This window comes from Homo sapiens, chromosome 14 (assembly GCF_000001405.40).
Source record: "Homo sapiens chromosome 14, GRCh38.p14 Primary Assembly".
In the NCBI taxonomy this organism is placed as follows: Eukaryota; Metazoa; Chordata; class Mammalia; order Primates; family Hominidae; genus Homo; species Homo sapiens.
In genome coordinates this window covers 84,039,808-84,055,250 of record NC_000014.9, presented here as the reverse complement: position 1 = coordinate 84,055,250, position 15,443 = coordinate 84,039,808, and the positions used below count along the sequence as shown (strand labels likewise).

Genomic DNA, 15,443 nt, shown 5'->3' with positions numbered 1-15,443 from the left:
ACATGTGGAGATTCCTAAAGGGTGTCCTGCCTGGGAGAGCATGTTGTCCTGCTTGAGAGAGAAAAGGACACAGATGAAGAGTCACATAGGGTGAAGTATAGAGTGGTTGAGCGCCCCGTCTCTACACTTCACCTTTTGTATCTCTTCATATGTATCCTTTGTAATATACTTTATAATAAACCAATAATCGCAAGTGAGTTTTCCTGGATTCTTTGAACTGCTTTAGCAAATTAATAGAACTAAAGAGGGGTTTGTGGGAACCCCAACTTTAAGATGGTTGTGTTAAAAGTTCCAGAGGATGGGACTTATAGGTGTTGTCTGAAGTCAGGGGGAGTTATGTGGTACTGAGCCCCCAGTGTGTGGAATCTGAGGTTATCTCCAGGTAGATAGCACCCGAATGTAACTGAATTAGAGGGCCCCCACACATTTGGTCACAGAAGTCTTTTTTATTTATTGTTGTGGTGGTGTGAGAGCCAAGAAAAAATAGTTTGAGTTTTTTCCCCATATGGTAAAAAATAAATTTTTACTCTTTATAAATTACCAAGTTTCAGGTATTTTGTTAAGCAGCAAAATTAACTAAGACAGTGTATGGTTGCTACTTGGGTGACATTGCTCCTAGGTCCCCTCAGCTGAAGGATCAAGGGAATATATGTGTGTATACTAATATATGTATACACATATACATATCCATATGTGCCATCATCTATATCTATATCTATATCCAAATCTATATCTATTGCTGTCTATATTAAGCTAAACATGAGTCCATAATGATGAGAGCCAATTGTAATCCCTTACCACATGGATTATTCTACCTTCTTGCCTTGCTTTTCTCTGAAGTCCCACTTCAGCAGTGACAAACCTGGCTTTCACCAATGCTATTCATTTACTTAATTGTTCAGTTCTAGTATGCATGTGTGTTTCAGAATTGTTTACTCTTATTCCTATGGGAAAAATCTTTGTTAACTAGAGTAGTATTAGGCTCAGTTAGATAGTTCTTTTTGCCTTTAGTCTTATAGACTCTGTTCATTTCCAAAGTTACTAAGGTTATGACCTTTTTTCTCCATGGCCTTCAGTGATGTTGTTTTGTACCTTTGTATACAATTTTATTCTTTTGCCACAGATTGCATGTCCTGTGATACTCTAATCTTTTAAATGGTGTGTTTACATTTATACACATTAAGATTTACTCTTTATTCTGTTTGCTTAGCATGTTCTTGTGTTCCCTTTTATTGCTGATAATCTTGTTCTGAAGTCAGCTTTGTCTGAAATTAATATAGCTACATCAACTTTCTTTTTATTTGTGTTGCACTGTATTTCTTTCTGATCCCATTTACTTGTAACCTATCACTTTATATTTAAGGTAGATTTTTTTCAAGACAACATATAGTTGTTTTTCTTTTAATCCTCTCTGTCAATCTCCACTTTTAAATTCATATGTTTGGATCATTCACATTTAAAATGATTAGACATATAGTTTATTAATATCTATAATATTTATAACTATTTTCTATTCATGGCAATTGTTCTTTGTTTCTTTGTCTCTTTTGTTTCTGTGATCTCTTGTTTTATTTTTAATGGAACATTTTGTATGATTTTATGTCCTCTCTTAGTGTATCAGTTGTATCCATTCTAAAAATATTTTTGTTGGTTGTCCTAGAGTTTATAATGTACATTTTATTTTATATTTTATTTATTTATTTTTATTATTTTTTAGATGGAGCCCCACTCTGTTGCCCAGACTGGAGTGCAGTGGCGTGATCTCGGCTCACCGCAACTTCCGCCTCCCGGGTTCAAGTGATTCTCCTGCCTCAGCCTTCCAACTAGCTGGGATTGCAGGTGCCTGCCACCTCTCCCTGCTAATTTTTGTATTTTTAGTAGAGACAAGATTTCACCATGTTGGCCAGGCTGGTCTTGAATTCTTGACCTTGGGTGATCCACCCGTCTCAGCCTCTCAAAGTGTTGGAGTTACAGGCATGAGCCACTGTGCTTGGCTAAAATATACATTTTAGATGATTTATGTTTACCTTCTAATACGACTGTATCCTTTATGTTTAGTACAGATACCTTAGAATATTCTCATCACTTCTCCGCATTTTGGCTAAGATTAAGTGTAACAGAATATTCTCCATTTTCCTCTCCTTGTGACATTGCTAACATTCGTTTCATTTATCAATATGCTACTATTACCCAATACATTGTTACTATTATTGCTTTAAACAAATAATTATACTTTAAAATAAATTAAACATAGTAAAACATATGCTTTATACTTACATCTTTCTTCTTTGATACTCTACCTTTCTTTATGCAGATCCATGTTGATGATCTATACTATTTTTCTTCATCCGGACAAACTTATTTTAACCTTTCATGCAGGATAGGACTGCTGATAATGAATTTCTTCTCTTTATCTGATAAAGTTTTTACTTCCTCATTTTTAAGGAATAATTTTATTGCATAAAAAATTCTAGATTTTTTTCTGTCAACCCTTGAAATATTTCACTCCACTCTCTGCTTCCTTGCAGTTGCTGTAGTTTCTGATGAGAAAGCTACTGTAATCCATATCCTTGTTCCTCTAAAAGTACATTGTTTCTCACTGATGTTTTCAAAGATAATTTTTGTCTGTGGTTTACTGTACTTTGTATACTATATGCTGTGTTATGCTCATTGTTGGTATTTATCTTGTTTGATTTTTCTGAACTTCCTGTATCTGTGATTTGGTGTCTTTCATTCATATGGAAAAGTTTTGGCCATTATTACATGAAATATTCATTCAGGTTTGTTCTCTCTTCTTTTGGTGTTCCGATTATGTATATGTCACACCTTTTGAAATTGCCTCGCTGTTCTTCAGTGCTTTGCTCTGTTTTTGTTTTGTTTTGTGTTTTGTGTGTGTGCGTGTGTGTGTGTGTTTCTCTCTCTCTCTTTGCATTTGTGCTTTGGAAGTCTCTATTGCATTACCTTCAAGCTACTATAGATGTGTTCAGTCTAACAATGATACTGTATAAGGCTTTTTTATTATTTCTGCTACAGCGCTTTTTATTTTTAGAATTTCAATCCTTTCTTAGAGTTTTTGTCTAGATAGATGTTTACATTACCCTTTTCCTAGGTCTGGCAATGTCTTTTCTCTGGAGAGTAGACTTTTGTTATAGAGCAGATTCTAGGTATATTTCACAATAGTTACTCTAACAATCTCCATCTCCCCCAGCCAGAACCAGGGGGATATTTTTCTTGTTTTGTTCATCAGGAGAACCTGGGGGGTTTCTAATGTAAAACCCACCAAAATGTGCCACCCTGTTTGAAGACTGCAGTTCCTAAGAATTTCTCACTCTCACACAAGTTCGTTTTCTGCCTCCAGCACCTCATCAAAACTATAATTTAATTGTTCCTACTAGGTTGTGGCTCCAGTGGCTTCTGCTCCAGCTGAGCAAATCCTCCCTGTGTCTCCCTCTGGATATACTTGTCTTTCCAGATTTCAGGGCAATGATTTTTCCTGTCACCTCAGTTCTCCAGTGAGTCCATGAATAGTTATGGTTATTTTCAGTTTGTCCACATGTTTCTTCTTGTAAAAACAGGCATCATAATTCCCAAGCTCTTTAAAATTCAGAGCGGAAGCAGAAGTCATACTTAAGTTTTAGCACACTTTAGAATACCTTTCTGTCACTTCCTACAGTTAAATAGAATGTATATTTTTTCCCAAAATGAAAATAATCTTAGCATTTTTTTCTAGTTTTAAAATTATTTCTTCTCAGTTCAAATCCATCTTTCTTAACACAGATTCGTGATACTGAAGCTGGACCCTGTAAACATTTCTTCTTTGCTAGCTGGCAAAATTTTAGGCTGCTCGGTAGAGGACACTGAAGGAGTTTATCTTACTGTTTTGAGTGTGCTTCTTCTGGCTTCTATGCCATGAAGGCCAATGGGTGCTTCTTGACCAATGGTGGACATGAAACCCAGTGACCCACACCATCCAACAAATATCACAAACACTCAGCAGGCATCTTTCTACCAAGTATCACCAGCCAGTCTTGCCAGCCTCCAAGAGATTATTTATTCAATGATTTGTGGCAATACCCCAGCATATGGTTTCATAGTCAGTAGTTTCTTTCTGTTGCACCTCAGCAAACTTCATTCCCTGAGCACAGCTGCACCCTTGCCTAGTTGGTAGAACATTCAGCCTTAGGAAATGCTTCTTCAAAGATTGTCTTTCCTTTCAGTAATTCCCCTTGGCCCTAGAAATGGTGGCTATTGCCTACATCTGCTATTCCTATACTCTATAGATTTTTTTAAATTGCACTTGAGGCTTAATCTCTTTTTAATACTTAACATTTCTTTAATGAAAGTACCACTACTCCAATTACTGGTATAGTTTTTATCTCCTGACCCAGTACTTAGTGATTCAGCGTCATTTCACCACGGCATAATTAACATATTGAAATCATATGAAGTTTTAGGTAGTGATCATGATCTTATCCTATATCAACAGCTATAAAAATTTATAAGTTTTTTGAATAAATGTTGTTCTTTAAGTAAGTTTCATTATAATTTCCACAAGTCCCCTTCCTACTATTTTTTTTTCTTGATTTCGAGAATTCTTTGTGGATTTCTTGAAGAAAAACTAGGATTTCTCATGTTGATTTCTCTGGGGAATGTTTTGAGTTGTGGGTATAAATTTTTCATTTATTTGTGTATGCAATTACAGTTCTTTTCAGAAAACTATCAAAATTGCTATGCATATTTTCTAATACATTCTTTTCTACCGTATTATTAGAATTTGGAGATGTAGGAAAGATTCACTTGTGAGCTTATGCCTAAGTTCCTGCTGTAGTTATAAAGCTCTAGTACTTTTTTTAACACTGTATCACACAGATTTTTGCAAATACAACCAGTGAATAGAATCTGCTCTGCCTCCATACACATGATAACACACTACTTATTCTCCTTTTGAAACTCGGGAGGTGGAAGAATTCTTCGAAGAGGAATTCTGTTAAAAAGATGGTGATTAATACATTAAAAAACCCTTTAAAATATTAATTTATTCTGTGTATGTCACAAATTCAGATACATTTAATGCCTACATTGAAGCATGTAATATATGTTAGCTACATTTGTATAGAAGCAGGCACGGCAGAAACTGCTGGTGATCATCCAATATCCATTCTTCCCCTTTTCTCTTTGGTAATAAAATGCCCACATTTTTACTAAGTCTATGGTCACTCAAACAAAACTATTTTCATTCTTTCCTTTCAGGTAATGAGCTATGTGACTAATTTCTGGCCAATGGAATGTGAAGAGAAGGAATGTTTACAAATATTGAATAATGTTCTTAATGGGAAAAGAAGTGATTTTCATTTCTTATCCCCTCCCAACTGTATGGAATACAGATTTGATGGCAGAACCTGGATTTGTACTATTAATAGAGGACATCTGCTAAGTATGGCAAAAAGACAAGCTAGAATCTGGGACCTAGCTTCAGGTCTGGAGGCTTAAGCCTCCTGTTTACAGGGAGATGACTGAAAAAAAAATAGTCTCTCTACTTTAGCCCACTGTTATTTTTGCCATTATTTTAGCAATTGAACCTGTATCTGAAATAATAGAGAAAGCACATTTAAATATAATTTTTATTGTATTTTATTTTTTTGAAACGGAGTTTTACTCTTGTTGCCCAGGCTGGAGCGCAATGGCACCATCACAGCTCACCACAAACTCCACCTCCTGGGTTCAAGCAATTCTCCTGCCTCAGCCTCCTGAGTAGCTGGGATTACAGGCATGTGCCACCATGCCCGGCTAATTTTGTATTTTTAGTAGAGACAGGGTTTCTCCATGTTGGTCAGGCTGGTCTCAAACTCCCGACCTCAAGTGATCCACCTGCCTCAGCCTCCCAAAGTGCTGGGATTACCAGCGTGAGCCACCGCGCTTGGCTTAAATATTATTTAATACATGTTAAAATATATGAGCATTTTAAGAAAGCCATAATTTTCAGCAAACTAACACAGGAACAGAAAAGTGAACACTGCATGTTCTCACTCATAAGTGGGAGCTGAACAATAAGAACACATGGACACAGGGAGCATCACAAACTGGGGCCTGTTGATGTGTGGAGGCAAGGGGAGGGAGAGCATTAGGACAAATACCTAATGCATTCGGGGCTTAAAACCTAGGTGATGGGTTGATAGGTGCAGCAAACCACCATGGCACAAGTATGCCTATGTAACAAACCTGCACATTCTGCACATGTATCCCAGCACTTAAAGCAAAATAAAAATTAAACAATTTTAAAAAAATATATGGACATTTAAATAATTTAAATATGCTATGCAAAAGTGCTTAATATGTTAAATTGGCATAATTTATTAGCATAATAAAAATTATTTTTCACATTTTAAGTATATTTATACTAGATGCAGTGATATATATAATACGCTGTTTCTTTACTTTCCTAAAGTGTCATGATGGCCCCAATGTGACTGCAACTTCTAGGTGTTATGAAACAAAAGGGACAACAACAACAGCAGCAAAGTTTCCTTAATCTGAATAAAACATATTTATATTTAATATGCAATGCTCTATATTTAAGTTTATTTCTGTCTGCTTAGATTATAAGTTTAGTCCTGCGGGTTTTCTCATAGCTCCACTATCAGATGGTAATAGACGTGTGGGGACAGTGCCTTGCATGACCTTCTGGCTTTGGCTGGAGGGAAGAGGACACATGTGATCATCCTTATCTCAACATGTGTGCTGGATGATTTTTGTGCCGATAGAAATGGTCACTTCCTGTCATTGGGCATCCTTATGTTTTCTGTTGTTGATATCTCTGATTCATTAATTTTTAATATTTCTTAGCTCTGTCAGAATCTAGTGGCCTTTTCCTGCTAGTTGGGCTTCCATCAGTCCTCCCTGGTGTTACCAACTCTTCTGATTAACATACATATCCTTCATTCTTGTTCCCGTCCACTCATTCTACAGTATAACAGTGGTAACAGTGTAAAGGCAATGCACTCCTGCGTAGAAGCCTCCATGTTTGGCCTCTCCCCACTTCATACAAAAAATGATTAAAGCTTGGAAGTGAAAATTAGATTTTTCTCTACCTATGTTGTTTTGTTTTCTTTACTCCTCTATTGCCTTTTATTTGACCTCAGGGAAATCCAATATTAGTTTTTCCCAAAATATAACCAAAATTAAAAAAAAAATTTCTGGTCCTCAGAGATTTCCTCAACCTTAATAACCTCCTCCATGATTTGAGAAGTTAAACCACCAGTTTGAAGATAAGTTTTGACTATCTGTATCTTCTAACTCACCTGTTTTCTTTCCTCTGTTTTCTTCTTTCATTCCCTTTCTTTTCCCCACCATTTCTCAGGTTTGAAAATGTGGAGTTTTGTTTTGCTTTGTTTTGTTTTGTTTTTTTCCAATTTCAGTCTTCTAACTAGCAAAGTAGTTGCCGTATTTTTTCAAAGGACAACCTTTGCTTTGAAGTGTTTAATATAAGTTAAAAACACGTGGTTAATCCTTTTTATTTCTTTGATAATGCCTAGATTTTGAGTCCATTGTCTTATTTCTATTTTTCTTAAGCCAAATGGATTAGCGTTGTTCTTTTTCATCTTATTTCTAACATTCCTAATTACTATCTCTCTGAAGGAATATTGCTATTTCAATGCTATAGTCCCATTACATTTTATATGAAGGTAATCTCTATACATATACTAGAGGCCAGAGTTCAATATTTCAGCTGGCTACTAAGCACCATAAGTTATTTTGTCAAAATAAAAAAGGATTTAATAACAGAGTAGAAACATTAAACATCATAGATGGAAAATTTTTAGTTAGGATATATCTAAACCTTCCCATTATCGTGAATTCTTTTTCTTTTTTTTTGATTTGGAGTTTCACTCCGTCACCCAGGCTGGAGTGCAGTGGCACGATCTCGGCTCGTGGCAAGCTCCACCTCCCGGGTTCACGCCACTCTCCTGCCTCAGCCTCCCCAGTATCTGGGACTACAGGCACCCGCCACCACACCTGGCTAATTTTTTGTATTTTTAGTAGAGATAGGGTTTCACCGTGTTAGCCAGGATGGTCTCAATCTCCTGACCTTGTGATCCACCCGCCTCGGCCTCCCAAAGTGCTGAGATTACAGGCGTGAGCCACCGTGCCCAGCCTCATGAGTTCTTTTATTCCTAGACTGGCTCTTCCAGTATTTAATAATGTGCACTTACAAAAGGTCAAAAAAATTATTTTCTTGAGATTTCAGATTGCAGTAATGTTGATAGCTATTAAATGAATAGGTAAACTAATCATTAATCTCTGGAGACTTCCTTGTTAGAGAATAAACTATGAGTGCTGATGATTTTATTTCTTCTATGTATTGAACTTATGTAACTTGGTTAAATGTCTTTTTCTTCCATTAGTTACCAGGATGGGTCCCCACTGCCCTGTAAAATATAACCTTAGATTTGAGATTGTCTCTATATGAAAATCAAATGATTTATACACATCATTAATGTACTGCAACTGAAGAATTACCTTAAAACTTAATAGTTACATATAAAAATATGACATAAGATGATTTCAGCAAACTAATTTAAAAAATTATTTAGTGAAATTTTTAAGTTAAGGTTTTTCTAATATACAATATTTGTTTCTTGCCACACAATGAAAAGGAAAAGATATGGAATAATTTTCTGAGTAATTGTAACTATAAGATTACATTTTTTGTTAGAGGTAATTATGACAATGGGAGCCTCAGATCATAAAATTGCTTTAAAGAAAACATATTGTTTCTACAAATTTTATCTAAAACATATTTGGAGCTTAGAACATTAGCTTTCCACAATAGGCATTGATAATTTTACAGATATAGACCTCTAAGTTAAGAAAATTCAGGAAAGAATAAAAATAAGCTCGAAAAGGAGAAAGTTGAAGATTAAAATTTCATAGTAGTTTCAATAGTAAGAAACCATTTATGATGATTTTTCCAAGCTGGAACTGGTCTGCACTGAACATTGCAGTGATCCACCAAGCATCGGAAATTATGAAGTAGGCGTATATCTTCTCTGAAATTTTACTTATTCAAAGACTTGGGAAGGAGAATTTTTTATTTAATTTTAAACATGTATGAATATGCTATGATGTAAAATGAAAAGTTAATATGCATTAAATCTTTAAAGGAAGATTTCAAGCACACTAGGGCTGTATGATCCTGTCTATATCTCATAAATGCTTCTGTGCTATAAATTTCATTTTTTCTCTCTGCTAGTAATTCTTTATTGGAAAAGATTCAAAAGCAAGGCTTCAAGATTGGAATTAAAATCATAATTATATGAAATAGGAAAAAAAGCATTCCGTTCATTTTAGCAAGAGAAAGATAAAGGCTCTTAGCCTAATTTCGGAACTAACGTTGCTATAGGTATGTTAGATCAACAGTCAAGCAAGACCTGGGTGAGGGTGAATTGGGATCCACAATAAAAACTGGAACCCATAAATAAAAACAGGAACCTGTGTCTGTCTTGCTACATTCAAACTTGATGTGGACAACATTCAAGAAAGCATGACGCTTCCTATCACAGAGTGGTACAAGTTTATGTCAGCATTCTTTTCCCAGAGAAAGATTTGACAGAAACTAGGAAGGGTTTAATTTTGGAGAAAAGCATTTTATTCAGAAGATTCTCAAGTGAAGAAATGACAGGCTTATAGTTAGGATAGGAATGTATTCACTTTGCCTGGGATCCAGGATGGGAGTTTCATCACTGAAAGAAAGTAGGTTACAAAAACCGCAGGTGGGTTTGAGCGGATTCTGGAAAAATGACAATTGCTTGGTCTAGCTCATTTGAACTATAGGCACTCCCTTATGATTAAAGACTAAATTGAAATTTTTGCTTTAGGAAGGATTTCATAAGTAGGTGGTTACTGGAGGTACTCAAATGTAGTTGTTTCAGGGAATAAAGAGCTGGGGGAAGGGAGGGAAAAACTAACAATTCCTGAAAACCAAATAGAAAATAACCAAGGAATGAGGGAAAGAAAGGAGGGAAGATAAGGAAAAAGGAAGGGAAAAATTTCTATCAAAACTTCATCATACAAACACCCTTTCTAAGTTATTTCATCCTTTCAACAAATGTATGAAACAGTGTTTATTACTTATTATTTTACAAATGAATAACTAGAAATGCAGAGAATTAAGTAATTGACTTCCTAAGAGATAGCAAATGTGAGAGCAGAAACTCAAATTCAGATTTATCTCATTTTATTATTAATGTTCACCCTACGATCCTTTCACATGAATCCAAGCAGGTCATTACAAGATGACCCCTCTTGAAAGCTTTTGACTGTGGCAGTTTTTCTAAAACTACTGTGGTTGGCTTCAAAATTCTCTTTAGGTTTAAAGTTGCAGATGGAGAAAAGCTAAGGGTTATCTTTGAACTTGTATTATTGTAAGATTACTGATTTGTAAAATAATAGAAAATATGAATTTTCATACTTATGTTTAAACTACTGCATACCAAAAGTATCTGAGACAGGTCTCAATCAATTTAGAAAGTTTATTTTGCCAATGTTAAGAATGCACTCATTGGCCAGGCGCAGTGGCTCACGCCTGTAATCCCAGCACTTTGGGAGGCCGAGGTGGGCGGATCATGAGGTCAGGAGATCAAGACCATCCTGGCTAACACGGTGAAACCCCGTATCTACTAAAATACAAAAAAATTAGCCAGGCGTGGTGGTGGGCACATGTAGTCCCAGCTATTCGGGAAGCTGAGGCAGGAGAATGGCGTGAACCTGGCAGGTGGAGCTTGCAGTGAGCCGAGATCACGCCACTGCACTCCAGCCTGGGTGACAGAGCGAGACTGTGTCTTTAAAAAAAAAAAAAAAAGAAAAGAAAAGAAACAAATGCACTCATGACAGCCTCAGGAGATCCTGATGACATGTGCCCAAGGTGGTTGGGGCACAGCTTGGTTTCAGACAGTTTAGGGAGACATGAGAGAGACATCAATCAATGCATGTAGATTGGTGAAGTCTAGAAAGGTAGGACAACTCAAAGTGGGGGCTTCCAGGTCATAGGTAGATTTAAAGATTTTCTGATTGGAAATTGGTTGAAAGAGTTATTGTCAGTAGAAAGAAATGTCTGGGTTAGGATGGGGGTTGTGGCGACCAAAGTTGTATCATGCAGATGAAGCCTCCATGTAGCAGGTTTCAGAGAGAACAGATTGTACATGTTTCTTTTCGGACCTAAAGAGCCTGTTCTATCCGTAATTTCAAGAGGGAGGAGGGTATAAAGAGGCATGCCCATCCCCTCCTTCACATCATGGCCTGAATTAATTTTTCATGTTAACTTTAGAATACAATTGCCAAGAGGAGGTGTCCATTCAGATGGTTGGGGGGCTTAAAATTTTGTTTTTGGTTTATACTACATAATTTCTTTTTACTATGGCCTATTAGTGGAACTAGTCTAGTGATTTGTTCTTCCCTTTCTGGTTTCAAATAATTTGCTGTGTTTGTTTTTCTGGTAATTGATAGCATTTCAGGGAGATCCCACTTTTGCCACTTGTGAATATTAGAATTGTATTAATTTGTAGTCATACAACATTCATTTAATCTACACCTCTACATCACGTTCAATTAAAAGTCTTAGTGTTTCACTCATTTAAGTCTCACCTTGTCTTATCTCAGCATCTCAGAGGCCCACAGTGGGGATATGTGTGAGGGATTGAGTCTCAGAGTCTCTTTTTCCCTCTTGTTGCTCCAGCCACCACTGTCTGCTCCTCCCCCACCCCCTTAACCCCAGCAGGCTGTGTTTGCTTTTGCCAAAATTGTGAGAAAAGTTAAAAAGGCTAAATAAATAAATAAATAAATAAATGAAAAGGACCTTCAGTAGGTACTGCAACTTATTGATTACATGTAATGTTTCATGGCAGATGTGAAAATAATGGGTATTTTCCTACAGGAGTCAGGGACATTTTCAATATTCCTCACGTTCCAGGGGGCACTTGCAACTTTGCATGTCAACCTTGGTCAAGCACACAGCTGAAGAGAGCATTTCTGGTTGGCCCTTCTGGCAAGCAGCCACTCTCTATTCAACCAGTTTTATCAAAACTCTCACTTGGTTTGGGAAGGGAGGGAAAAGCTATCCACTCCCTGTCTTATCAACACTCACTCAACACTCTTCCAAATGAGCTTCATTTGCTCTGATAAATCTCTAACCTGAAAATGCAGATGGCAAGTGGGTGTTAAACAAATGATGTCAGAAATGGTTTTGCTCTTTTTCAGTGGGTCCCACAGATGGGTCTAGGTACTCTTTTAAAATGTGCTGGTACCTTAAAGCAACTGGTTTCAGCTCTGGACATTAGCCAAAATACTAAGACAACAGAAAACCCCATTTAACATCCTGATACCTAAGTACTTACCTTTGAGAATATTCAGAGACAATATGCCATAAGAATATACTGCGTTAGAAAGACATGATTTTCCCTGTTGGATAATCACATGTAGATAAGGTAGTTCACCTGACGTAAAACAGACTCGCTTTTTTTGTTTTTCAAAGTAAACAAGTAAGCAGCATGGTAGTCAGTTATTCTGGTAAGCAGGAATTAGGCCAAAACTATAGTGTGCGTGCGCGTATTGTTATACCTCAAAAACGATTTCTAGTACTACTTTCTAAATTGTTTGCAAAGCATTTCCAGGTTGTTTTTGGAAATCTACAGTTGTTATAAAAATACTGGCAGAATTTTAATTATAATAGTGCTACTGGGCACCATTAACCTCTTGCAGATTCATTCATGCTAAAAAAGAAAAAATAAAAAGGTAACTGCCAGGCATCAGTTTTTTAAATAAAGACAGGTGCTGCCAAGTCTCTGCTGGTTTGCCATCAACAAAAGAATCATTCTTTTGAAGCAGCCAGAAAGAAAGGGAAAGAAGTGGAAGATCAGCCAGGTCAATTGCTGAATGTTGTTCAAAAACAAAGGTGGCTTGTCCCAGGCTGCAAGCAGAAAGGCACCATTGACAGCCCAGGGTGGTAGCAGCACTTACTGTTGGTCCCTAACAAGGAGTTTTGCATGTGATTTTTATACTTTTGGCTAAGAAAGGAGGGGGTCTGGTTTTGAGAAGTATGCATACTTATATACACATACATATACTTTCTCCCCTCTCCTTCCTTCTCCAAAGGTGTTGGGTAAAAGTATTTTGCTGAATTTAAGATGCCATCAGGAACTAGAGTTTAAAATATCGGACCTGGCCGCAAGTTAAAGTGAATTGAGATTTTCATTTCTTCCCTTTTGGAAACCCTAATTTTAAGTATCAGTGAAATAATGTCTGTTCTGCTTTCTAGATGCAGTACATATCCAGATTTAAAAATCATTAGGCATCAGATTAGCCCTAAATTTGAAATCACCTTTGCAAAACATATGTAACATTGAGAAAATGACAAAGGTGAAAAGAGATCTGACCAAACCTACTCCATCTTGCTTCTAACCTCTAAGCTGCCCTTGTTCAAACTAACTTTGGAAGGAATTTATAGTTTAACTTTGAAACAAAGGTGATAACAGCTATTTCCCAAAACTAACCTCCTTTTTGCTTGGGGACCAGACTACTGCCTCTGTAAGACTAACAAAGTAGCCAAAAGATTAGAAATTATGGTTTAGGAGTCATGCAACCACAGGCCACAAGATTCCAAACCTCCCCAGTTGCTTTACTATTGTAAAACCTAAGATTTGTGCTCAAGATATTTTTCAGACCCTGCATTCTGATTCACCAGGCGATGCCACCGAGATAGGTAATCTGGCTCAACCAATTCTGTGATCCATCTAGGAACAGAAGACAGCAAGAAGAATCCAGTTTGACTCTTTGTGATTTCCTTTCTGACCCCACTCCCTGGCCCTGTGCCCACCAAATTATCCTTAAAAATCCCCAGTGTCCAAAGTTTTGGGGAGACAGATTTGAATAATGATACTCCAGTCTCTCGTATAGCTGGCTCTGTGTAAATTATACTCTTTCTCTATAGCAATTCCCCTGTCTTGATAAATCAGCTCTATTGGGGCAGCAGGCAAAATTAACCCATTACAAATTTACCTACGACCCAAATGCTTGTCATATTTCTGATTTGATAACCATTTACATGGGAGGAATAAAACATTTACAAAGACAAGAAATTTGCACAAAATGAAAATGTGGCTGCCAATTATTTGGCCTTTTTTAAGTCACTCCCATGAGAGTAAATTGTGGCACCCCAAAGAGGAGGGTAAGGCTAAGTGGTAAATGATGCTACAGGTTATTTTTTTTCTATGAATCCCTTTTATGAAGCCTTTCTTGAACTCTAACCACTACCCTAATGAGATTACCAGGCATGACAGTTCTAGCCACTAGAGAGAGAGAGATGCCACACACACACACACACACACACACACACACACACACACACACACACACAGAGTACTCTGCAAAATACGTGACATGCTTATTCTCTTTTACTTTCCCTCAAATGTCCCCTTCTCTGGGAATCAGGTTGTGCAAATCGGGCTCTTTGTGTAAGCATTCCACCAAGCATGATGTGGCCATGAGTGAAATCTTAGGATGTCTCTTGAAGAGGGACATAGCCTCTGCCTGTTGTAAACATTTCCTGATTATTTACTTCTTGATCAAGTGGAAGAAAAAAGGTAAGAAGTAAGAAGTGTTTTGTACAAAATAAACAATATTGAATCCTAGATATTTAATATGTTGTGCTTTAACATGCTAACTTTAGCAAAAGTTTTGTTTTACAATTTGTAGCTAATCATACCAAACTGTGTTCCTAAATTTATACAGTAAGGAAAAATGTACGAGATGAACTTAATCTGGGATACATTCTTAAATTCAGGACCATCAGATAGTGGAAATGCTTGCCAAATCAAAGTGCTCAAAAGGAAAAATTGCTGATAAAGGTCCAGACAGCCAAATCCACCCTGTCCTTGATGCGAGAAGTCAGCCTAGATTAAATATAATACTTCTAAGCTGATCCTCCCTGGTTGCACCACTAACAACCAGCCTTTCTCTGTGCTTAGCTTTTAAGACTAGAGTCTGGTGCCTGGGGTGTATGTGTATGTGTTGGGGGTGGGGTATTTATGGAAGAAACTGTCTGTAGATCAGAAAGTTCCTCCTGCTTCAAATACTTGCCTTTCGAATCCATTCAAACTATCACCTGTTTGGTGTTGGTTTGGTGCATCTCTCAGACATTTTCTTTCCAATATACCAAGAGGCTCACAGACCACAAACATGAGGCTCCAGACCTGAGTCATTAGACCTCTTTTGATTAGCAGCTTATGGATCCAATCACTGTTCTGAATTAATGTCTCTGTGTTACTATAAATCGCAAATGAACGACTGGATGGCATAAGATTTTCTTTTGTACCATTAGTTGGACTAAGAATAGAGAAGACATTACTATTTATACCTTAAAATAGTCTTAATTATATCTAGGAACATACTCA

General features: G+C 36.9%; 1 long non-coding RNA gene across 1 annotated transcript; it reads left to right on the top strand.

Moving 5' to 3' along the window:
* The first annotated feature begins 1,800 nt into the window (after positions 1-1,800).
* Positions 1,801-6,555, top strand: LOC124903402 (uncharacterized). Its single transcript, XR_007064378.1, has 2 exons — positions 1,801-1,839; positions 6,446-6,555. It is a non-coding gene; the product is annotated as an uncharacterized LOC124903402 (long non-coding RNA).
* Positions 6,556-15,443: the final 8,888 nt, after the last annotated feature.